Raw genomic sequence first — 26,598 nt, forward strand, 5'->3', positions numbered from 1 at the left:
TCAGATCTCCTTGCAGAGTTAGTGGCTGGGGCCCACTGGATGGTAGAGAAGTCACTGGAGCACCACAGGACAGGGCTGGTAAGCAGGAAGCTGTCCACTGGGGCGCCAGCAAAACCGGACGGAGGGGTGTATGCTGCTGGGTCTCCCATATCCCATTGGCCAGGAAGTTGCCTGCTGTGCCATAGAAGTAAGAACAAAAGCACTAGAACCAGGAAGAGAAGCTTTTCCTTTCAGCACCCTCTACTGACAGGACCCAATGTTGTGCCAGCTGGCAATGGGGAAATGTTCAGAGCAGCTCAGTCCAATAGAAATATAATGCAAGCCACATATGTAATTTCAGAATTTCTACTAGTCACATTAAAAAGCTAAAAAGAATCTGGTGATACTAATTTTTAAATTTGGGTAAGATATAACATAAAATTTACCATCTTCACCATTTTTCAAGGTACAGTTCAGTAGTTGTGCAAACCAAACTTCGAAACTTTTTCATCTTGCAGATCTGAAACTCTACACCCATTAAACAACAACTTCCCTTTCTTCTTTCCCTGCAACACCAGTTAACCACGATTCTCATTATTTCAATGAATTTTATTACTCTGGGTATCTCATATAAGTGGAATTATGCAGTATTTGTTTTTTTGTAATGGGCTTATTTCACTTAGCATAATGTCCTCAAGGTTCATCTTTGTTGTAGCAGGTGTCGAATTTCCTCCTTTTAAAGGCTAATATTTCATTGTATGTAGGTAGCATATTTTGTGTATACATTCATATGTCAATGGATTGGCTGGGTTGCTTTTACCTTTTGGCTATTGTGAATAATGCTGCTGTGAACATAGGTGTACAAATATCTCTTTAAGACCCCGCTTTCAGTTATTCTGGATATATACCCAGAAGTAGAATTGCTGGATCATATAGTAATTCTATTTTCAATTTTTTGAGAAACCACTATTTTCCATAGCAAATGCATCATTTTACATTTCCACCAACAGTGTACATGGGTTCCAGTTTCTCCACATCCTTGCCAACACTTGGTCTTTTCTGATTTTTAATAGTGAGCATCCTAATGGATGTAAAGTGGCATCTCCTTATAGTTTTGATTTATATTTCCCTAATGATTAGTGATGTTGAGCAGCTTTTCATATGCCTCCTGGCCATTTGGGTGTCTTCTTTGAAGAAATGTCTACTCAAGTCTTCTGCCCATTTTAAAATTGGCTTATTTGGCTTTTGTGTTGTTGAGCTGTACTTCTTATATAGTCTGGACATTAACCCTTTATCAGATACATGATTTGGAAACATTTTCTTCTGTTCAGTGTGATGTCTTTTTACTCTGTTGTGTCTTTTGCACAGGCGTTTTACATTTTAATGCAGTCCAATGTATTTATTTATGTTTTTGTTGCCTTAATTTTAATAATATATTTTATTTAACCCAATATATTTAAAATATTCAATATGTCATCAACATACAATTATTGATATTTTATGTTTTTGCACTAATGTACAGTTAGTACAAACTGTACTGTCATACTGGCCACATTTCAAGTGCTCAGTAGCTATATATGACCAGTGACTACAGGGTTCCTCTCCAGTATCAGAAAGCAGGGCAAAGCAGGAGAGACTTGGAGCTGAGAGATGATAAATTGATAACTGGCACAGGATTATAGTAATTATGTGGCCACATATGGAGCATTACATATAATTAAAAGCCATGTTCTAAAAAGTTACGAAAATTTTAGGAAAAGGCTTATGTGAAGTTCAAACAGAAACCACCTATGTATTGAAAAAGAAAGGAAATACACTGAAATCTTAGCAATGGTTATCTTTGGGAATTAGTATTGGGCTGTTTTGGTTTCTTCTTCCTACATTTATGTATTTTCAAAGTTGGTTTAATGAGCACACACAGTTTATCCACATAAAGTTTATGCTCTTGTAGCACAGAGGTATCCTTTGTAACTCTAAGCAGTGGAGCTTATTAGAAGTCTAGGCCCCTAAGCTTCAATTTGGTCGCAATTTGAGAGAGAAATAGGTACCTTGGAAAATGGGATTGACTCCAGTTAATTGTGCAAACCTGGGTTTGTAAAGTGCAAAGATCTTGCCATTCTGAGTTTGAAAGGTCATGACTGGGAGTCCTCGAGGTGGCAGAAAACCTAATCCCTCTGAATTTATGGGACAAGGGAAGGTGGTTTATTCAGTTTCTGTTAAAAGCTGCTTGTTAATGGCTGTGATTGGAATACTTGACATTGTTCACTTCCTTTTTTCCTCTTGGGGATCAGAGAATTAAAAGGCTGTTATTGGAATTGATTTATTTTGCCACTTTTATGTAGAACATTTTATCTTCCCTGCTCTGTCATACAAAGTGGAAGTTCTTTCTTTTCCTCAGGGAAGCTGAAGAGTGTTGTGATCTTCTTTTGTGCTTAGAGTGTGTGTGTGTGTGTGTGTCTAAGTGTGTGTGTGTGTGTTGCAGATGCGGTCTGCTGACACAGCTACAAGACAGCTTGCCCATTCTGTGGGATTCTCTCTTGTGCTTTGATTCTGCTAACCTGCCTCAATTTTATGCTGGTTTGGCTTACCAAGGGTGAAAGTACATGAGACCAACCCCAAATCTGAATATTAAAAAAATTTTAAAGCAAATAGTTATTTGCTTTATTATGTACCTATTATGTACCTATTATGTACCTTTATTATGCACTCTATTATGTAATAGACACTGATTTAAGTCCTTGTCATAAATGAACTCATCTAATCCTCATAATAACCCTATGATACATAGGTATGGTTGTTTCTCCCATTTCATATACAGGAAACTAACACACAGAGGTTTAGTAACTTGCTGAAGGACTCATAGCCAGAAAGAGGATGAGGCAGAATTCAAATTTACAGTCTGGCTCCATAGTCTGTGCCCTTAAGAATTAAACTGTGTAGTGGTTCTCAAACTTCAGTGTGTTTTAGAATCTACTGGAGGGCTTATTAAAACACAGGTTGCTGGGCCCCACCTTCAGAGTTTCTGCTTCAGTAGGTCTGAGGTAGGGCCAAGCACTGGCATTTCTAAGTTCCCAGGTTATACTGATATTGCTGCTCCAGGGATTACACTTTGAGAAGCATTGAGCTATATATGGAACCCCTGGTGTTGCTCATCCTCATGGCCAAAGCAAACAGAGCTTGCTAAGTAGCTCCTCCCCACCCCAATGCCTGTGGCTCTTGCATGGTGGTGGCTGGCGGGGTAGTTGTACTGCTGTGGCTCTGACTCTCCCAGGAGGGTCAGACTACCCTAGACTCTAACCTGGTTGTTTTCCAAGTGTCCTCCTTTACTTGAGGTATGTCTTTAAAAATAACATCTTTATTGAGACAAAATCAATAGTGTACAGTTTACCCATTTAAAGTGTAATATTCAGTGATTTTTTTTTGGTAGATCCAGTTGTGTTACCGTCACCACAATTTAAGAATGTTTTCATTATCCCAAGAAGAAACCCTATACCCAATAGCAGTCACTCCAATTTTCCCCCAATAACCATCAACCTTAGAAACACTTGATGAACTTTTATCATTTATTTTAAGTACTTTATTGTCCAATCCCAAAGATAGATATGACTTTCTGGGACTTTATTTGCAAGGCAGTGTTTTGAACTCAAGCCTCTCAAAACTTTGCTTTGTGGCCAGGACTTGTGAGGATTTTCTTGGCCTACTAAGTGGTTCCTCTTCTTCCAAGAAACTCGTATGAGATGTTTAACCTCTTCTCCATGCTCCTGAATACTTTGGGATTGGAGATCTGACTCTGGCACCTTGGAATGGTTTGTGATTTTCTTTTTTCCTTTAAAATTCAACAGTTAGGGAAGCATTACACATGTGGTAGTAACCTACTTTGAGAAACACATCTTGTCTGCTATTGGACATACATGAAGATGAATAAGACATGGTTTTAACACCCAAGGAATTTAAAATCTAGTAGGAAAGACCAACATGCATAGAGAGGACTGCAAACACAGGCAGAATGTGATTGGGCCCAGGAGATGGGCAGAGTGCTGAGGAAGCACATTTTGCTCATGGACAAGGGGGCATGGTATCTGGACCTTGAGAAATGGGTATCATTCCAGTACATGAAGATGAGGAAAAGCTATAGGCAGTGAGAAGCAGAGCTAGTATCCTAGCAATGAGTTGGGAACAAGAGGGCTTTAAAGGAGCGAGGGTAGGAAGTCACATTGGGCTTATATCATAGAGTGCATTGAGGACCACCATGCTAAGGAGTGTTCCTATTCCATAGATAGTGGGAAAATGAGGAGTTTTAGATCAGGGAATGGCAGAGCTGTGCTCTTGGATGTCTCTTTTATAGAAATTTTTCTCTTGGATGTCTCTTTTATAGAAATTTTTGTCTTGTGAAGTTGGCAAGATCATTGTGGCAGCTCTTCTTCCCAAGTTGCCCAGGGTCTCTAACTTCTGAATTCCTCCCACGTGGAGCCAATGTGTCTCTTCCTCTCTATGTGTCCTGTGCCACTTTGTGTCCCCATCCTTCCCAACTCACTCCCTCCTTAAAATTCTTGCTGTCCTGTTCTCCATGATGTTTCTAATCTAAGGTTTCTATCACAGGAGGAATGGGTGCTGCCATAACTCCTGAGTCCATTCCAGAAACCACAGATGGGTTTTCACAGTGCTCTGTTGCAGGACCACAGCTCCACACCCACCCTCACTCCCACTCCCATGTGCAGTGCCCTTTGTGTTTAATCAAATTGAGTGGGGAATTGTAGCCACATAGAAGAGGCTGTTGCTTCTGGAGTTCTGCAAACTATACCCTGCAATCGGCTGTTGAGGCAGAACCCTACTCTGATTCCAACCCCTCGCTGGTTGTTTTATGCCCTGTTCTGACAGTTCCCTGGGCTGAGTTTGCTCATCACATTCTCAACCTGTTCATTTAGATTTGGGCTACCTCCTTTTATTGTTTTAAACCTGAGCGTTCCTTCAGTAAATCCTGAATATGTGAAGAAGAAATGTAGTACAGAGAGAGAGAAATTTTTCCTATTAAACATTTTAAAACTTTTTTTTTTAACTTGCCAAGTGTTATGAGGTTTAGATCCTGGGGACCTGATTCTGAAAGCTTTTCCCCCATAGAAGGGTTCACTCAGCTAACTTGAATTTGAACTTAATCTTACTCATCTCCCCACAACAAATCATTTTTCTCTCTGTCATGATTTCGTTGCACTCTGTGGCAACAGGCATGACCCTTACTGGGAAGCTCTTATGTAAGAGCTTGCCTAAGTGAAGAAGACTTCCCTGGCGCTGGTATTGGCTCTTGGTAGCATGAGCCTTTGTTGCCTTTTTCCATTGCCCTCTCCCTGATCTCTGCACCTTGCAGGTCCTCACTGTTGCGCATACCTGGAAAGGGGCCATGGGGAGCCTCGTCAAGGCTGACTTGTCAAAGGCTCTTGCTGGTTTGTGTTTCAGGCTCTTGGAGCATGGTCAACAGTGCGGAAACATGCTGCATGGGGAGATCAAAGCTTCAGTGGCCAGAATGATGCAGTCACTACTCTGCTTAATTAAAACCAGGCCTGTGTACGTGGTTTTAATTAAGCAGAGTAGTGACTGCATCACTAGAGGCCAAGGGGCAGTTACAAGAAAGGTGATGGTGGTTAATTCCTGGCATTCCGTCTCTTGGTCCACATGGGGCCAGTGTTCAAGGAGCACTTGCCTGACTCACTGATGACATGAATATGTTTCATGCTCACATACATGCATCCATGTGTTTAGATCATTTGCTGATACTTGTCGCATCAGTTGGATAAATCAAAGAAATATAGAATCTGAGATCTAGAAGGCACATAGACATCATCTGGTTTCATTCATTGGAGATGAGAAACTGAGGCCAGGGGGATCCTCCAAGAGTTTGTTAGGAGCACAGTCTACATGTTAAGTGATATTTCATGTCACTTCCCCAGTCCCAGTTTAGAGTTGTATTGTAAATGACAAATATAGGTTAGTTAAATTCTCATTCATTCGTTCCACAGATGTTAACTGATCACCAGATTCTGTGTATCAGGGTCTTTGATTTCATTACTGATTTCCCATTCCTCTGGCTTCTTTCCACCTCAACTCCATAGTACAGTTCAGCTTTCCATTCCTATGCTAGTAGCTGTCCAACTTTCTAATACCAATCAGCAATTTTGAATATGTACAACTGTGCTACCATTTTCCTTGGTCACTAATAACAAAAACTACCATTATATTGAGCCCCTATGAACCTGTTAGATGCTTTACAGATACGATCTCACTTAATCCCCAGGAAAATATTTTTAGCTGACTTGCCCTTCACAACATACCATTCATATTTTCACAGCTGAAGGGCTGCAAGCTTGAGCAGTGTGTCCAGGGATACCCAGAGAGTAACTAGCGGACATGTCTTTCTACTCCCGTCCATCAGTCTGCCATTAAAGCACACCCTTTGCCCATATGTTACTTCTGTTAAGCCATGAGGAAGCAGGGCAAGTCATCCCTCTAGTCCCCTCTCTCCTCTTTCCATTTTTTGCTTTCTTGAACACTCCAGCCCCCCTTTCCCTCTTTTTCTTTGGTGGGGGATGGGGGGGCAGGTGTATTCCTGCATTCCTCAATTTGCCTTCCTTTCTGTTTCCCTTGGTTAGAAATGTTGTCTCTATAAATCGAAACCCATAGTTCACAGGCCAGTCCATGTATTGCAGAAGAGTCTGGCTGGTTTCAGGCTTCCTGGTCTGCATGCAGGCTGTACTTCCTCACTGACCTGTCTTCACCCTCCTTCTTAGGCATCAGAGGAGCCTCTCCTAGCTAAATTGCTAGTTACTTGAGAAGGAAAATGTTTCATCTTGATGGTAGCATATTATTCAGAGCCCTGGATAACCCCCAGCTCTCCTGGAAACACAATACGTGTATGTTTGATGGAATTTATCTTGATGATTGGTGAGAGGGTGGTGATTTAAACCAGCTCGTTTCCCGTTTACCACTGAGGCCAGCTCACCTTTGCTGGAGAGGGTTCTTGACTCTTTCTTTGTAGCAGGAACTCCCAAGTTAATCAAGTCTTTTCAAGAGCTTCAGGCTGAAAGTCAAGATCCCTCAGGTTAGACCCAATGTTGAAATTTTAACTGGGCAAATTCTCATTAGAGACAAAGGGCCAAAGACTGTGCTGGTGGAATCTAATGTCTTTTAATGTTGACTTCAATCCAGTAAAGCCCTTGTTAAGCCATTTAACTGTAAAATTGGGCCTTGGGAAGGCAGGACACCCTCTGAAATTAGAGGTCAGGAGATTTGAATTTGATTTCCAGCCCTCTGCCAGTCAGTCAGCCACTCACTCTCAAGCCTTAGGCTAGTCACTTTCTGTCTGTTTCTCAATTTTCCACAGGGATTTTTGTGGGCATTAAGGCCCACTGGGAAATGATCCCCTTTTCAGCTCAGTGCCTGGTTTGTTAAGGATACTGGTCAATCTGGACTTTAACACACCTATGATTTTGGATTAACTCTATTACCTCTGCCAGAAATTAACACAGAAAATTGACAGTTGATTGACAAGAAGGAGAATCAGTTTTAAAGAATTAAAATATAACTGAGTCCTTTATTACTTAAAGAATATTCAACTCAAGTGGACACAGATCACCCATTCTAACTTCATCAGCTATAGCACTTAAAGGAGGCAGGCTTTGCGGGGACAGTGTTAGCTATGTACTTTGAAAAAGTCGTGTGCTCTACAAATAAAAAGCTACTTTTGTTGTTACTTTTGGTCCCCAGTAGAAATGGAAGTCATTTTCAGAGAGCATGGGAGACACATGAGTCCTTTGCTGTCCTCTTGTCTGCCTCTGAGGGTGAAATGAGAGGAGTGTGAAGCACTTTGGGGTGTGGCCAGGCACACAGCTAGGCTCGATGCAGAGCTGCTGTCGTGGTGGTGTGGCCCCAGTCATCATGAGCCACATCTGACAGGATTAATCACATTTCATATGCAAGCATGCTCTCTGCTTGACCGTGCTGTTGTTTTTAATGAGAGCATCATTTACAGTATGGTGCAGTGCTTTAACCTGATAGCCCTGCCTAATTTTGTTCTGTGTAACAATGTGTGGACTTGAATAGGAGGCAGGGTTGGGGGAGAAGGAGGGAGAATGGACGTATGAATAAGAGAAAGGTGTCTCTTCCTTTGGAGCATGGATGGGTTCCAGTCCCCACTAACCCCCTCAGCTGGGTATTTTTGTGCGGGTCACAGCCTGTGCTACATTAAGCATCAGCCCTGGTTGGGGATAGAGTCTACAGGGGAAGGGTTAGGGCTTCATCAAAGAAGCAGCTCTCTTAAGTGACCTCCACTTAACTTACCTGCTAGTCTCCATTCCTTCTGTAAAACATACTACCGGCAACTGCTGCTACGTGTTTTTGTTATTGTTGTCTTATGTGCCACCATAATTTTTTTCCCTCCATTAGGGCTGAATGCATACCAAGAGCCAATTGTGTGAATTCCTAAACTTGTTTGCACCAGTTATATTTGTTGTTGTAATTGAATAATTTAATTATTACATAAATGAAATATGAGTGAGAAAAAATAGATGGCTAACATTCACTGAGTACTTACTGTGTGTTAGGTACTCTTCTAAGTATCTGACATCTCATCTCTTATAGTTGCTGCGTATATAAAAGTAGAATGTTTTGAAAAAAATGATAACAGTGAATTGTTACAGAAGTCACCAATGGATTAGTTATGAAGAAGACAGCATAAAAAAGTTGGAGGGAAAGTAAAAATCTTAGAAGGATCCTGCACCCATGTTACTCAGCAAATGTCTCTAAGTTCTTAATCCACTTGGAAGAAAGCAAAATTAGAAATCAGAGTCAATATATTGTGTTATTTATGTAAGGAAGAGTTTGGTAAGTTAATCTGTAGACCTATTCCTAGAGGAAAGACCTCCAATCTACATTACAATATTAGTGAATAAACATACATTTATATATCTTATATTAAAATAAAATGTTTAAGGTATGCACATACTGTTTTCTATGGTTCTTTGCCTTAACATCTGTTTTGAGTAATAGACCAACTTTTACTGGTTATGATTGTGTTTATAAGAAGTCTTTTACTGTAAGAAGATTAGTGAAGACAAATCAGATATGGGCTCCACATGGCCCCAGCTGATGTGGGCAGGTGCCTCTAGGAGAGCCGAGGAAGCTCATCTAAGGAACGTGTCTAGGAAGTAGCCATTGTGATCTACAGATCATATTCTCTTATTGCAAGTTCCTATTTTACCAGTTATTGGGTGAATTCCTAAAATTCAGTGGACTGCATCAACCAAGGTTTTGGAGCCCTATTTTGAGTATAATGCAATTTGACATATTATAATGACACTGCCCTTTGGTGCCTGTCACCAAAAGGATTCCTTTGTTGTTCCAATGGTCAGATCCTGTGAAGACTGAGAGTGAATATGTATTTGCACACATACTCACACAGATCAACACACGTGCTTATATTCAGTTAAGCAAATATTCAGCAAGCCTGCTGTATGCCAAGTGCTGGGCTGTGAGTCATAAGCCCCCAAGAGATTGCCTGATATGATTATTGCCCCTAAGTAACCTGGGGATGTACCTGGAGGAGTCACATATCACCAGCTAAGACAGATGGGCTAACAGAGGCCACTGTGAAGGACAAGAGGAGTGGGAGAGAACCCCAGTAGGAAAAGCAGCATAAACAAGTAGGGTGATGTTGCAAAGGGATTGTACAACTCAATGAGTATAATGACTTCGAGAATAATTTACTTTCAGATTACTTTTACTTAGGTTTGTCTGATTTTATGCTCAAAATAATTCCAGGAAGTAAAAAGGCCTGTATATTGCCAACTAATACTTGGGGACACAGATGTAGAGGGAAGGTGACTTGCTTCAGTAATGTGGCATCAGAGCTCCCTCCAGGCTTCCCAGTGCCTGGATTGGTGCTCCTGCCACCAGATGGCAGCTTCCTGGCACATTTACCCACCTGCCACGCTAGAGACACTCATTGAAACCCATTCCTTAACTGCTCAGATGAGATTACCTTATTGCCTTATGGTCTGTCCTTCTCAATAAGCCACAACAACTGCCAGCTGACTGAACAGAGGGGCCTCACTGACTTCCATGATTGGCTCAAGTCCCATTCCTGCTGCACTGTGTGGCCAGTGTGTGTGTGTGTGTGTGTGTGTGTGTGTGTGTGTGTGTTGAGGCATGCCTGCTCACCTGGCACGTGGATTGGGATTCCTGCCTTCTGGCCCTATGGGCAGTACCTCAGAACAGCCTCTTCATTCAGTGCCTTCTGAACGGTTCAGGGAAATATTTTTGGCTTATACATTCTGCCCAAGCCCAGGCAAGCTCAGCAGGGCCCCAGAATAGCACTTTGCCTTTTACTAGAGAAGGTTGCATTTGCAGAGGTACCATTAACCACCTGGATAAGGGCTCTTACAGCACAGCATGCTTTCTAGCGGGAGCCTGAATCACACTGTCTATATGAATTGAAGTCTCACTCACTGTTCTCCCAACTCAAAACAAAAACTACAAACGTGGAGTAAAGATAAAACATCAGCGTGTTATTTGGCAGCTTTTTGTTTGCACAGGTACACTGTGGAATGTATAAACAACCCCAAGGGAAAGATACAAGGCACATGGTCATTTCTTCATGGTCCATTCATGTATTCAACAAATATTTACTGAGCACCTATTTGGTGCTGGGTGATATACTAAGTATTGGGGATTTCACCTGGAGCAATTATGGCCCTGCCCTTGCAGAGTTCACAGTCTGATGGCGGGATACAGACGTGTCAAGGGATGGTCACAGTGGAGTAGGATAAATGCCATGAGTGCACACTGGAAGCAGGGCAGTGTGCAGTTATGTGGGGTGTGGCTGTTCAAGGGCTGTTGGCTGAAAGGATGAGTAGAGGCTGAAATCCAGCCTATCCTCTACTTCTCAAGACATGTACTGGCTAGAGGCAGGGGAGCCTTTTTGTAACTCACAGAAAGGCTCACAGGGACCAGCAGTGACCCTGATTGGAAAGGCACCTACTCTGGATTTAGCATGGAAGGGAAAGCTTCTTGGAAGGAAACATTTCAATTGAGACTTGAAAGATGACCAAGAATTAGCCAGACAAGGGAAGCAGAGGAGAGGTGGGAAAGAGCATTCTAGGTAGAACCATAATCACCAACACTGAAGATAATGCTTAGCATGTGCCAGGCGCAGAGCTGAGTGCTTTAAAAGATTAATACTTTTAAGAGGAAGTTGCATACGGAACAGCATGGAAGGGCAAGAAAACCTGGCACTTTTGGGAAACTGAAGTGAGTTCATTTTGGGAAGAGCATGGAGTTCAGAGGAGAGAGAGATCGTGAAGACTGGAGTGATGATAATAGCTAGTTAAAATTACTTCACACTTGCTCTATGCTGGGCAACCTTCTGAGTGCTCAGTACATATTGACCCATTTAATCCCCATGACTGTATGAGGTAGATACTATTATTATCCTCATTTTACAGATGAAAATGAGGCTGGGAAGGATTAAGTAACTTGACCTGGGCTACACTGCACAATGTGGGAGAGAGAATCTGCACTCCCCCTGACTGCAGAGTCCAGGCTCTTAATTCCCACACTGCCTCTACGGGAAGAACTCAAGATGAAAATAGGTCTCCAAGGATTGACTCAGCAGAGGAGAAAAGGGAAGGCATTCCAGATGAGGTGACAGATGTCAACATCAACAAAGCAGATTCACACTGAAACTCTGTGAACAAGGAGAGGCTGGCTGCATGGTGCCATCTCTAGTCTTACTTTTTCAGCAACCCTGGGAAAATGAAAATCCTTCCTCCTAAATCATCTCATTCATCTCTAACCACAATCCCATGAAAGTTGAATGTCATATCTCCACTGTAACAATGAAAGAAAACAAAGCTTGGGGACAGTAAATGACTTTTCTCTCAAAAAATAGATCTAGAAGTTTCCTTATTCAGGAAGTTCATTTGTTCTTTTTACCTTCCTTCCTTCATTCATCATCTATTTATTGAACATCTACAATGTGTCAGACACTCAACTAGGCTTGAGAGAGTAAGGAACAGAGTATATTCCCTGACCTCAAGTGAATAGGGTTTTAAGTGATGACAGGTCAGTGTGGGTTTTTAAAACATGTCTGCAAATTCTTTGAGACTCATCTCATTGAAAGATGGAGTTTGTGACTACTCTTGAATCTTGGTTTACCTTCATGATTTGCATGCAGCCAACAGAATGCAGTGGAAGTATGCAGCTTCTGAGGCTAGGTCCAAAAAAATGGCCAGTCAACTATTCCTCACTATGAGGAACACTAGCTGCCAAGAAAGAAGTCCAACTAGCCTGACATAGCCATGCTGGAGAGGCCACGTGTAGGCACTCTGGTGACAGCTCCAGCTGAGCTCCCAGTTGATGGCCAGCATCATCTGTCAGCTGTGGATTGAGCCATCTTGGACGTCCAGACCCATCAAAATTTCAGATGCAGCCCTAGCCAACATCTTACTGTAACTGCACGCAAAACCCCAAGCAAGAACTGCCCAGCCAAGTCTCTTCCACATTCCTGACCCACAAGAGTCTGAGTAAAAAACAATGGTGGTTGTATTACAGATGTAATTTGTTATATAGAAATGATAGCTCTAATCATCAGCCTCCAAGAATTGAAGAAAGCAGCAACTCAGGGGATCCACTAGAGATAGGGCTCAAATCACTAGAGAAGAAATTGCTAGTCTTCAGCAGTGAGCATAAAACCTTCAGCTATCTCCTAGATTTTATTGCAAATTGGTCTTCGGGAAGGAGGGGCGCGGGCAAAAGTAGAGGAGAAAAAGTGAAAATGAGCATTATTTAATAGAGGAGTTTATTTTGCATGTTGCTTTCGGTTTGAGCTCCTCCCCTATATACGCATACCCATGTATACATACACCCACAGACAGCAGGCAGTGCAGGAGCCTGATTAAACAAGGAGTTATGATTGTCCCTAAGGGAGCCTACTGTTCTCAGTCTTCAAGCTGGTAATGAGTAGTGCTATCTGCTTCTGCTTTAGGAGTGATATCCTGATTGAAGTCTGCATTGACTTTAATTCAGGTGTGTCTGTTGAAAGGTTATTGTAGCCGAGAGGGGACAAGGGGGTGTTAGATGTGTAATGGCGGCAGCTGGAAGAGGAAAGCATGCTTCTCAAGGTCCCATCAAGCACTGGCTAGATGAGAGAGAAGCAGGTGAGGAAGGCAATGATGAGGGGCAATGGGCATGGGCTCCTGCATAAAGAGCAGTACCTCTCAGAGACCAGGGTATTCACTTCCTACATTCTGTGTCCTCGCTTTCCCTCTTTGCTGTGAATATGCATGGAAGAAAAAAAACAAGGAAGAGAGATGATGGTGATTAGTAATGTGTTTCAACTATGGCCCTGACCTTATCGGAAAAGAGACAGAGAAGAGTGTAAGGTCTCCTTTCAAATCGGTCTGCCTCTTTGAAGAGCAAATCTCTTCCCCATCTCCAAGGGCTGGCCTTGCTCTCTTCTTAACCCATCAATTATGGTGGAAGTCATATGATTTCACCAGAAATATCTACAGGCAGCTCTTGGGGTTAATTCTGAGAGGTTCCAGGTAAATATTCTTCCTTAATTAATGTTTCTAATTTTTAGTCAGTTTGAAATTAAAGAACTTTACCCATGGGCCATCTGAGATGTTGGCTGTCTGTTCATTCTTGCAGGGACCCACAGGACCATTTTTCAACCTCATTTAACCTGCAAAACAGCTGTTGTAAGAATTGTTGGAGGACCGTCTTCCCCTCAAAGGGGGTGTGAGTGGCAGGAACTGATTAGGATTCAGCGTTGGTATTGCCTGTGGCCTGTCATTTGAGGGAGTGAGTCCCAGGTTCCCACTACAAGGTGACTTACCTCCTATCAGAGCTCCGTCTGGATTTTCAAAGACACCATATCATTGGCACAGACTCATTTATAAGTTGGAGACTGGCTCAATGAGGTGTATCGGGCCTTAAAGTATTTTTACCTGCTCTGCTGTGAAACTCAAATTTTACATGTTTATATCCCTGAAGTTGAGTGAGTAGGCATGGGATGGAGGAGAGAAGGATCCAGACTGGTGGGGCAGGGTCTATTTAGGGAGTAACTAGATCCCAAGATTCTGCTTGACAGGTGCTGGGAACCTGTCTCCCCTCTCAGTTGAGGCAAGGTTCCTGCTGGGGTCAGCAGTTGATTTTCATTCTCTTTGAGACACATTCTCAAGGACTGTTCTCTTAAACCAACCTTTGTTACCATCTTGTTGAATTTAAGTATGGAACCTAAGGACATTTTCAGGACTGCTCCAAGTTCTATGTGGTTTTGAATAAATAGCTATATTTATTTGCTACTAGAGGAGAACTTAGAGATAATTTAGGTTAGCTTCTGCATTTTACAGATGAAGAATTTAGTGCTTTGAGAGATTAAGTGTTTTCCTGAGGTTATACAACTAGTTAGTGACCGAGCTAGGAATAGAACCCAGGTCTCCTGGCTCTCAAATCTGTATTATTTCTATTATACTATATTGCTTTATCTAAAGGAGTACCTGTAAATTGATTTAAAGCAGAGTTTCCAGATAATTCTTCGTTGTGGGGGACATTGTATGACGTTTAGCAGCATCTCTGGCCTCTACCCATTGGGTGCCAGTAGCAACCATTTCTACTGTCCAGTTGTGACAAACAAAAATTTTTTTAGATATGGCCAAGTATTGCATGGGGATAAAATTGCTCCTAGTTGAGCTAACGATTCAAAGTTAGTGCATCTTTAGAGAAGAAATGGGCTTATGTTAACTCCTCCTGGGCATGCATGAGTATACATGCATTTGAGTAACAAGGATATGAGAAGATCTACTTCCTAACTATGGCTATATAGGGTGATGGGAGCTTGAGGGAAGACCATAGCTGCCTCCTCTTTTATTTAAATGCTGAGATTGTGTGCTACCATGTAGAGGAGGAGGGGACAAGGATAGGGCGAGGAAAGAGAGGAAACTAGTAGGATATTTTGTTTTTAATTTGGGGAAGGCAATTGCTGTGAACATTCCTGCCTAAGGACTTGTATTCAGAAGATAAAGAACTTAAAAAAATTAATAAGAAAACAACCCAATTTTAAAAACTGGGCAAAAGCTTTGAACAGATACTTCACCAAAGAAGACATAAAGATGGCAGATATGCATATGAACAGATGCTGAGCATCATTAGTCTTAAGGAAAATGCAAATTAAAACCATAAGGAGGAACCTCTGCATAACTAAGAATGATGAAAAATGTAAAAGACTGACCATGTCAAATGTTGATGAAGATGTCAGGGAACTGGAACTCTCACATAATGCTGGTGGGAATGCAAAATGGTACAGCCAGTTGGAAGACAGTTTGGTAATGTCTTAAAATGTTAAACATACACCTACCATATGATCCAACCATTCTACTTCTAGGTATTTACCCAAGAGAAATGAAAGCATATGTCTGTGAAAGCAAATGCAAGCGCTTGTACATGAACCTTCATAGCAGCTTTAGCTGTAGTAGGCAAAACTGGAAACAACCCAGATGTCCATCAGCAATTGCTTTTTAGACATTATTTTGTGAATGAGACATTTTACAATCCTGTCAGCTAATCAAGTTTGGTAGAGAAAAGGATCAGAACGAGAACATCTGTTTATGCCAGAATACTGGCTTGATTTCTGGGTGTGTCAGAATGTCTTTAAGTATTCTCTTTTGGCATCTGGATTTGGCAATGGAGTTGGTAATCTTCTGTAAGTCCCAGGTGGGCTATTTTAATGATGATAGCTTATGATGGATTAACGTTTACGTTTTTCCTTAAAAGAACACATCTGGCTCCAACTGCTAGCTCCTTTAAAGCATTTTATTAATACCAACGTTAACACATTTGAGGGGTCAAGGTGTCATTGGTTACTATTGACCTCTCTCCTAAAGATGGCAGGCCAGGTGCCCTTAGGGCTACAATTCTATCGAAAGAGTAAAAAATGGGAACCAAGAAAAGAAAACGTTTCAAGGGAGGGTAGAGTGATCAACTCCTGCCCCAGAGGTAACTTAGACCTTCTGTGATGTATGTGGGTTGGTTGAGACTTGTTGTAGAATCCATTTTTTATTTAATCCTTTTTTTTAAATCTCCTAGTATGTGTTGAATATTGAGATACACACAGGAAATAAGATATGGCCCAGTCCTGTCTTTAAACATCTTATAGTCCAGTGAAGAGAAAGACAATGTGCAGGGACAGTACAGAGTGATGAACAACATGGTGGATGTGGCCATTGGATGCTGCCAGCAGAGCATGCAGGCTAGATCCTTAATGAAGAGTGAGGTAGGAGTTGGTCAGGAATCACTTGAGTGTTCCTCCTAAATGTCTTAGCTTGGTGCTGGCTGTTATGGTGTGAGTGCTTAAAATTACTAGGAAAACATATAATTCTTGCTCTCCAGGAGATTTTAATCTAGTTAAGGAGATGAGATTAATACACATAGGATTAAGATGACCATGAGTTGATAGTAGTATAATATATTAGAAATAATACTGTACAGAAATAGTAATTCTGGCCTGGGATCTGCTCCTACTTGACTCTGTAACCCTGGGAAAGTCATTTACTGGGTCTCTTGGCCTCAGTTTTTTAAACTCTAAAATGAGAAGCCTAGATAACAGTATATGATATGTGGGGTCCCTTCTAGCTCCCCAATCTGTGCTGTGGGGGTGTTGATGGGAGACCTGGACAGGAATGGGTATGGCCAGTTTGTCCTCGCTAGAGAGATTTGCCTCAAGGAAGCAGAGAAGTTGTTGTTGAGAAGAAATAAAATCCATTATAAGGTTGGGTAAAACTGTAGGAATCAGGGATTTTTAAATTTTGGAAGTCATTTTGTGGGAATCATATTTAAAGCTAAAACTGAGTACAAATCTCATCTTCCTGGGATCAAGGACGTTAGATCACTGGGTGCTTTTCTTCAGTAATCCCTTTTGATTGTCTGGCTTTGAATTGGTCCTGGGTTTCTGATGGTTATTAATAGAAACCTGTATATATAGAGTGAGAACTCTTAGCATGTTTTTTGTTGTCTTGGTTCCTTCCCTCTTGGCATGCAGAATTAACCAGTGTCACCAATCCCATGATTGGAAAGGCATTTTCTCCCCTTGCCTCTTTCTCTCGTAATTCCTTCTATCTGATCCCTCAGGAAAGATGCTCTGATCTAAGAGTATCCCAACAATGCACAGCAGTGTTATTTGAAAGAAAAACATAAATAAGGAACTTTTGCAGAACCAGAGGGAAGGAACTGCATTCTCTTTTCTCTGCCATATCCGGTAGCACCTGAATGCCTCCTTTGTCTGATTCCCAGAGTTCCCAGGGTTGAGTAACCTTTCCTGGAGCACTGTAGGCCCCACCTGGCAACTTTGTGAGTGCTTATTTTGCAAGATGAGTTCAAAGTTTATGTTGTCTTTATAAAGGGTCTGAAAGATATGGAAGAGACTTTTTGGACTGGGGTAATAGCAATATAATTTCTACACTTGTTTCTGTTTCCAGACTCCAGAGCTTTCAGAACTCCCATTTCTACATGTATCAGGCTTGAAAACTTACCTATGAAAATAATTTTTGTCCCGTCCCCCCCACATTGTCCTCCTTCCATACCTACTGTGCCAGAGAGCCTTTCCTACAGCTTCAGCATCTTATTCCCTATTGAAATGTAACTTGCCAACACTACTTTGGGAAGACAGGTCTAATTGTCAGACTTGATTCCTGCACATGATCTGATGGCCTTCATGAGAAAGAAGGCTGTGAGGACATATATTCTATGTTATCCACAATTTCAAGGTCACAGTAATTGGTTGGATGCCAACTTTTCAAACAGAGCTGGATGACACAAAAGGATTTACTATGGTTCTGCCTGGAATAATTAAAATCAAAAGCTGGTCGTGTGTGGTGGCTCACACCTGTAATCCCAGCACCTTGGGAGGCTGAGTTGGGAGGATCGCTTGAGGCCGGATGTTCAAAACCAGCCTGGACAACACAACGAGATCCCACCTCTAATATATATATATATAAATCAAAAGACCTTTTTTGATATGGGTGTGGCATTTTAGGTAACTAACAAACACCATGGTGTTTGACAAGTGATAACATAATTTATTGATAAGGCTTTATCCCATATTAAGTACACTGGCAGTTACAATCCCCATGAAGTAGAAGAGATAATTGAGACTCAGGCATGTGAAGTGCCCAAGGTCTTGCAAATAATAATTGATGATATTGACTTTCAAATTCTGATCTTCTGACTTGATGCCAAGTCTAGTGTGTCTTCCATTACCCATATGCTTTTCTATGTGTTATTTATGGAACTTTTTAAATTTACCATAATCTTCTCTCATTAGATTAAAAAATCAACTCTTTAATGGCAGTGGCTATTATGAAGTAGCAGGAAAAATCAGAAGGACTTCTAATATGCTCCGCTTTTACCTGAAAAAAGTTTGCAGCAGAGGAGAGGGGGCAGAGAGCTTACATCAATTTCCTTATGACCCTTTAGCCTCAGGGGTTATGGCCTGGACCATGCTGATGAGCCTCACAACTGAATGTTTCTCTAGAGATCCTAATTGACAGGGTCCTCCAACAGATGAGTGTCGGTCATTCTGTATGCCATTTTATTCACCCCAACTCCACCAACACAAATAACAACAAACCATAAACATTCATGTCCCTAATTCATTTCCTTTGGAGATTAGAGGTTTTGTTATATACACCATTAAAGTCTTCGGGGACCCATCTCAATATGTTTTTTTCATCTTGACTTAAATCCAACTCTTCTTGTTTCCTTCTCCATCAAACCACAGCACCCCCCCCTTTCCTTTTATCAAGGGGTGATGGACAATAGATGATAGCAACAGTTTCTATGGTAACAGCATCTGAGTCATCTCCTTGGAAACCTGCATAAAGGCCTTCCATCTCCAGACCAGCTCAGTGCAACTTTGAAGGCCTTTGTTCCCTTGAATGGATCAGCGTGGGGGAGCAAGCTCTCCCGGGGTTTGGCCACTGCAGTTTCCTTTGGTTCCTGATGCCCATGGCACTTTGGATATAGAGTTGGATTCAACCAAAGGTGGGGGATGGTGGGACCTGGAGTGCTTTTCTCAGCCTAGCCCTTGGCCAGAATGCATTGTCCCTAGTCCAGCACCAGATACCCTGCAGATTTAGCCAATAGATGTCTCACTTTTTAAAATGTCCATATGACTCAGCCAGGCTCCCACAGTGACCATCTATGGATCAAAATAAAGCAATGTCTCATGTGAACACAGATGAGCTGGGTATTTTAGTATGGTCACGAAGAGAATCCTGAAAGAGGGCACCATGGGGCAGCTTGTAAGAATCCCTTTCCTTATGGTGTCTTTCAAATGCAGCAGTTTTGTTACTTCAATGAAAGCAGAATGGTTTCCAGTGGCTAAGAGGATTAATTCTCTTGTCATCATCCACACCAAATAAGAATCACAAACATATCCATTGTACTGCATATTTTGGAGATCATTTTCATATACATGAGCTCAATTAATCATCTATTCAATGGTTGAATATGTGTTAATTTGAAACCTACTATGTGCTGCATAGGGTATTGAAATTTGGGATACAATCATGAGAAAAACAGACATGGTTCCTGCTCTAATGAAGTTTACTTACAGATAAGAAAAACAAGTGCTAATCAGATAATTATGCATGAGTGTAAACATTCAACCATGATCTACTCTGAAGGAGAGAGTCCAGTGTATCAGTGGGCACGAGAGGGGGATTTGACCAATGGGGACAACTTCCCTGAAGAAGTGATAGATGAGTAGCAGTGAATGGGCCTTTTGCAGATGAGGAAGTAAAGACTTTGTAGGTTGAAGAGACATCCCTATGTCACAAACTGCTAAATGACTAGTCCAGCCCTGGAATGTGAACCCAGGAATGGAGCAGTCAAATCCCATGCCCTGTCTGTTCCCTTGTTCTGACTCTCAGAGCACTGCCTAGAGTCAGTCCTAGACCAGGTAGCCAAGGAGTGCTCTCCCATTTCCCCTTTCAGGGCTTATGCTGTCTTCAGAAAGGTTCCTCCCAGCTTCTAGGACCAAACCAAATGCCCATTTTCCCGAGGGGACAGTTCTAGGAATTTTCTGTTTATACAGACATCCTCCTCCAAGGTGTTATCTGATCATTGAAGTTAGCCTTCCTAGGGATGTTGACCTTTAAATATAGCACTCTAGGAGGCTAAAAGTTTTGAAGTACCTCTTCCCTCTAAAAAAGGATGGAGATAGGTTAAAAAAGAATATCCACTGATAGAGTATAGGCTTTAGGAGAGAGATTGTTTTAGCCAACATTTGGAAGCAAAACAGCAGCAGAAGCAGGCGAATCCATTTCATTCATACTCTGGGCCTATCTGGTTCCCTGTGGTTACATCTCCATTTAAGGGGCAAAGAAAGCTGTATTGTCTCCTCCTCAGAGGAGTGGGAAAGCCCCCCTCCATAGTCATTGAGAATAAGTGAGTCAGGCAGGGGAAAGTGGGGTGGGGTAAAATGGGACCACCCCCATGCAGCAGTTGAGGGAGCTGCTGTGTGCACAGCCCTATGGTGATGCAGTGGATGTCTATATTTAGGCATTTGCCTACTTGTTACATTTTTTTAAACAAGAACTTAAAGGTGGCAGATTCCCCCTGGCATGCGAAGAGTGTGTGAGACTACCTTTCCACCTATAGCTTGAGTTCTTCCTCCCTCTTATCCCTTTGTGGATACCATTATCAGCCAGACACCTTTTTCTTGAGCTTTTGTAACCCAAAAGCTAACCCTTCTGCCTCCTGCCTTGACGTCCCAAGCATACTGGAACTTTGACTCTTCCCTTCCTCTCTGGATCACTTGCTGTAAAGGCACACCTTATCATAGCCCCACTGGGACTGCCTTGCCTGTCATACTTCCAGGGGAGGAGACTTTAGGTATTACCTGCTGTGCCCTCTGTCCTGAGCTTTTTTGTTTGTTTGTTTGTTTGTTTGTTTGATAGTGTCATGAGACCACTACCACAAAAATAACCTGTTTATCTGTAAATTCCTTAGTATGAACTCAGCTAATGCCTGTGGCCTATGAGCTGTGTGAATAGAGGTAGTCTGAGTACAGCAATATGGTGTCATGCCATCTTTGGCCTAAACAATCCTGCTCTCCCACTAGGCCCTCTCAGCTCATGTCCTGCTGTCTCTGTCACATCTTCCCTGAGTTCTTCAAATTCCCGCAGCCCCTGATCCCCATGCCATTCACTTGCCATCATTTTCTACTACCTTGTCATTATGAGTCAACGTTTTATGTGTCCTTGTCCTGTTTCTTCAGAGAGAACATGCAGATCATCTATTACTGAGCAAAAGGGGCTCATTTCCCAATGTACTAGAAGCTAAACACTGTGACACTGGGTTTTTAAGAAAATAAAAGCTTTATATTGAAAGTTGACTCCCAAGGAGACAGGAGTCAAGCTCCAATCTGTCTCTTCAGGCTGGGTTTATTTAAAATATATATATGTGTGTGTGTGTGTGTGTGTGTGTGTGTGTCTGTGTGTGTGTATAAATATATATATATGTGTGTGTGTATGTGTGTGTATATATACACATACATATTTGAGATAGGGTCTCACTCACTCTGTCACCCAGGCTGGAGTGCAGTGGTATGATCATGGCTCACTGTAGCCTTGAACTCCTGGGCTCAAGTGATCTTCCCAATTCAACCTCCCACGTAGCTGGGACTACAGGCATGCACCACAACACCTAGCTAGTTGTTTTTTTTTTTGTTTTTTTTTTTTTTTTTTTTGTGGAGACAAGGTCCCACTATATTGCCCAGGCTGAACTCAAGTGTTCCTCTCTCCTTGGTCTCCCAAAATGTTGAGATTATAGGTGTGAGCCACCACAACTGGCCCAAGGCAGTATATTTATTAGAAAAGGTTCAGGGGGTAAATTCTTTTTTCTTTTTGTTTTTTTTGAGACAGGGACTCATTCTGTTGCCCAAGCTGGAATGCAGTGGTGCAATCTTGGCTTACTGCAGCCTCAGCCCTCAACCTCACAGGTCCAAATGATCTTCCCACATCAGCCTCCTGAGTAGCTGGGACTATAGGTGTGTGCTACCATGTCCAGCTAATTTTTGTATTTTTTATAGAGAGGAGGTTTCACCATATTTCCTAGGCTAGTCCCAAACTCCTGAGCTCAAGCAATCGGGCCACTTCCTCCTCCCAACATGCTGGCTGGGATTATAGGCATGAACCACTGCATCCAGCCCAGGGGGTGGATTCTGAGATTAATGGATGATTGGTGGAAGGAAAGGGGAGGTCTGGAAATTCCTTGGGCATGCACAGTTATCTCTGCATGTTGCCTCATGGATTGCATGTGCAAATTCAAGGGGAGGTAGTATGAAGCATGCAGTAGAAATTCAGGCTGTGAGGTCAGCAAGCCCATTCTGTGCACTCTAATTGGCCATCTTGGTTCCAATAGATTTCAGTAGTTATTTTATCTCGTAAGTGGAGGGAGCTTCAGCAAGTTGTTTCTTTAATTACCTGCCATCTTGTGAACTCAAGAATTTCTATTAATCCCTGGTTTCTTTAACTCTTTGGGGCACAGTTTCACATATGTGCATGGACCATGCTTTCTCTTATATTGGTGTCCCTTATAGCTGTGTATTCAATATAATAGCCACTAGCTAAGTGTGGCAATTTAAGTTTCAATTCATTAAAATAAAATTAAAAATAAAATTCAGTTTTTTGGTTGCACTTGCCCCATTTCAAGTGCCCAGAAACTGTATGTTCAGCAGCTATTGTATTGGATAGCACAGGTATAGAATATTTCCATTATTACAGAAAGTTCTGTTGGGCAGTGCTCTTCTATAGCACTTGGTATATGCTGGTACATGCCTGGTGCCTAATTGGTCTCTGCTATGGTTTGAATGTTTGTCCCTAACAAAACTCATGTTTAAATTTAATTGTCACTGTCACAATATTAAGAGGTGAGACCTTTAAGAGGTGATTAGGTGAAAAGGGCTTTGCCCTCTTAAATGGATTAATGTCATTATGGAGGGAGTGGGTTTGTTGTAAAAGGGCGAGTTTGGCCTCCTCTTGTTCTCTTTCTCTCTTGCCCTCTCCACACTTCTTCCTTCCGCCATGGGACGATGCAGCAAGAAGGTCCTTGTCAGATGCCAGCACCTTGATATTGGACTCCCAGCCACTAGAACTGTGAGAAATTTCTGTTCATTATAAATTATCAGTCTCTGATATCCTGTTATAGGTGCAAAATGAACTAATTCCTCAAGAAATATTTACTGCTTGAGCCTTCAAGTTAAGTCTGTTTCTCATGGGTGAAGCCAAGGGTGGTTACAGATATAGAAGAAAACTTATACTTTGCCCAATTCAGTTATGAATTGTCAGAGAGAAAACATTAGAAAAATGAGGAAAAAAGCTCTCACTTTTCATCCTTAGAAGATCAAAATAAGCAAGATTAACCCTGTCTAGTTCTGGCCAACCACATAAGTGAATGTTTAAGCATTCCCCATAATCCTAGATTTTCTAGCTATAACAGTTTTGTCCTTGACTTCTGTGATGCTGAGATCTAAGGAAATGTCACTCCCTTTGTGAATATAATGATCTTTTGAGAAATGCAGTTTTTTCAACATAAGCAGACTTATCTTCTGGGTTTTTTTTCTTTTAAACATCTCTTGATTTTTATATTTCAAGCCACTTTTTTTCTCTTATAAATGTTTTTGCTGACACAGATGAGTAGTTTAGCTGAAGATTTATCTTTTTTAATGCATGAATCCAGAAAATAAGAAGCAGGCGTATCCTATGACAAGGAAATGATGATTACTATCTTGAGGAGATAATGTCACCTCCTACAGAGGCTACTTAGTGATTGAAGAGGTAAAGGGAAGATAGGATTCCTGCATTCTGGAGTGGTATGGTTTTTGATGACTTGGCTTTTCCATCTGTAAAATGTACTTTAAGAATCATTTTCTTATTTTTTGAGTAATTGTTTTTGATGAAGGATGATGAAACATTTGTATCTTTGTCTCTAAATGCTTTTTAAAGTCAGTGCCTCGTTTCAGCATCTCGCCCTGGGTCTTGACTATAGTAGATTCTTGGTCAATGCCTATAGATTGTTTAAGTCCTCATTAAATGTGCATCATGTAACTGCAAGGCCTTCTTCTTGTATCAGGGGCTATAGTTTATAGAACACAGGCAAAGAGCTGGGATTTCTGGTGACCAGGAGCAGTTTAGGAGGATGCTGTTGGATGGGACTGACATGAACCATTGTGGGTGAATGTGCAAACGTGAGTGTTACCACTGTCCCATGTGACTAACCCTCCCCAGCAGGGGCCAGTGGTTTTAAAGGGCAAAGCCATGGGCCTGCTAGATGATGATGGAGCACGAGAGACATGGAATTCAGAGCTAAAGCTGGCAAGCTGGCTCCTCCACCACTTTGCTGGCAAACATGTTGGCCATTTTAGGGTAAGGAGTGGGAGGCCTTGAGAATCTCATGGATGTGTTTTCTACAGTAGCTAGCGTGTCACAAGAGGATGCGACTGGTGAATGTGTACAAAGGAGAAGGGACATGAGGAAAGTGTGCTCTAAATTAACTACCACAATACTTTATAGTATGCCATAGTTTATAGCATATTACAAATTATACTCTAACTGTAGATCACTATAAGCTGGGAACAGGGCAATGCATTTTACCAGTACAATCTGTGGTATGGGTGGTGTTATCCTCATATTGCAGATAAGAAAGATTGAGGCTTAGATGTTTAAGTGACTTCTTGGCACTCACACAGCTGGTAGATTCCTTATCTGGGATTTAGATTTAGATCTTTCTCCAAGTCCATATTCTTTCTATTATTCCTTCTTCCTCTCTAAAGAGGCTCTTTGTGGTCCATTTCAGTTTGGACGTTCTATGATGTTACCAAATATTTTCTTCAAAAGGTCTTTCAAGAAGCAGTTAGAGCTCCAGGAATAGTACAGCTTGAATGTGCTCATCAGTTAAACACATTCACATCTCCCTGGGGCTGCGGAGTCAGGAGAGTTAATTAGCATCTGTCAGGCAGTTCTAAAGTACTTACAAGGGCTCACAGATGACCTTGAGGAACATTTTATTTTGAGGTGGCTCCTAGAGTTTGTTTTATAGATTGGTCACTTTCCACCCCCCTCACTCCAAACTGGGAGCTTTTTATTACAACAGGTCTTTCTCCAGAAGCTGCATCTTTGCTGCAATTTCCTGTTTCAGCTGGCCCTGGCCAAACTGAATTCAGTGTCCTAGACTCTTCCCCAAACAGTGTTCTCCTCTCTTGTGGCTCCTTTTACTGTTTCAGGTCAGGAGACCCAGACAGTTGGCCCAAGGTAGGGATTTCAGATGCATAGGTTATTTGCTGCTGCTGATTTTTTTTTTTTTTTTTTTTTTTTTTTTTTTTTTTGGTAAGATAGGTAATGCATTGCTCTGAGCTATCCACATTCTCCAATTTCCTCTCTCCAGACTTTCCACTGCTATGTGTAAGATGCTGATCAGGGCAGGCATCTCAGCCAAAATGAGAGCTGTAATCGATGGCCATGGAACCAGCAAGGTCAAATGGATCCTTTAAAGAAAGACCTCTGTAGCATTGTGAACTCACTGGCAAAATCTAGTCTCACAAACAAGAGAAACGTTGGTGAGGGCAGGGGTGGAAAAAAACTATGCCAGTGATTATTTTCTGCTTAAGCACTAACCCAGTCTTTATGGGTAGGAATGAGGGAAATAAAAATTGGGTAAATTGATGCTGGGTGCGGTGGCTTACGCCTGTAATCCCAGCACTTTGGGAGGCTGAGGCAGCAGATCACCTGGGGTCAGGAGTTTGAGACCAGTCTGGCTAACATGGTGAAACCCCATCTCTACTAAAAATAGAAAAATTAGCCAGGTGTGGTGGCAGGTGCCTGTAATCCCAGCTACTGGGGAGACTGAGGCAGGAGAATTGCTTGAATCCACAAGACGGAGGTTGCATTGAGCCAAGATCGCGCCACTGCATTCCAGCCTGGGCAACAGAGTGAGACTCTGTCTCAAGAAGAAAAGAAAAAAAAAAAGAATTGGCTAAATTGGAATAGAGGTAAGCAGACAGGGGACAGATAGCATCCTCAGCTCTCCCCGTAGTCCAGCCTATGAGAATACATCTGGCATTATTACAGAGTGTCTGAATGATTATTTTGCTCTTCTGTCATCTGATGTGTTGAAAAACACTCCTGCAATTGTTTTCCTTACATTGGCTTCTGGGCTGAACTTAATCTTCTAATGGATTTTACTCCCTTTCCAAAAGGTCTTTGTAACAATCTAACTCCTTGTGAGTCCTTGGGATTTTCCCTTGTTGGCCAATCCCCGCACCGATTGTGGACACTGTTTAATTTACTGTCTCCTTTCAGACTGCCTGTGAAGATTAACTGTCCTTGAACAACAGCATCACTCATTGTACTTGGCCACATTTGCTTCACCTTTCTCAACTGCACTGTTTTCCTTCCTTGTCTCTTAGGCACACACACATACACAAATCCATGTAATTTGTTAATTCCCCCTCTCATAGATACACACACACAAATGCGCGTATGTACATTAACACTCAAATGTGTAGCATATATGAAG

At 41.8% G+C, this 26,598-nt stretch overlaps 1 protein-coding gene across 2 annotated transcripts in view, besides 1 other annotated feature; it reads left to right on the plus strand.

Annotated features, from left to right (window-relative positions):
* The window catches only part of NOS1AP (nitric oxide synthase 1 adaptor protein), a 300,785-nt gene that overhangs the window by 160,427 nt on the left and 113,760 nt on the right, over nt 1–26,598 (plus strand). The gene's annotated exons all lie outside the window — the stretch shown is intronic.
* Nucleotides 19,355–20,016: an enhancer, noted in NCBI's record as "NANOG-H3K27ac hESC enhancer chr1:162219262-162219923 (GRCh37/hg19 assembly coordinates)". NCBI's record gives its function as "activates a minimal SCP1, AML or CMV promoter by ChIP-STARR-seq in naive H9 embryonic stem cells {active_cell/tissue: H9 hESC(naive)}" and the evidence as "EXISTENCE:reporter gene assay evidence [ECO:0000049][PMID:30033119]".

This window comes from Homo sapiens, chromosome 1 (genome assembly GCF_000001405.40).
Source record: "Homo sapiens chromosome 1, GRCh38.p14 Primary Assembly".
Taxonomy (NCBI): Eukaryota; Metazoa; Chordata; class Mammalia; order Primates; family Hominidae; genus Homo; species Homo sapiens.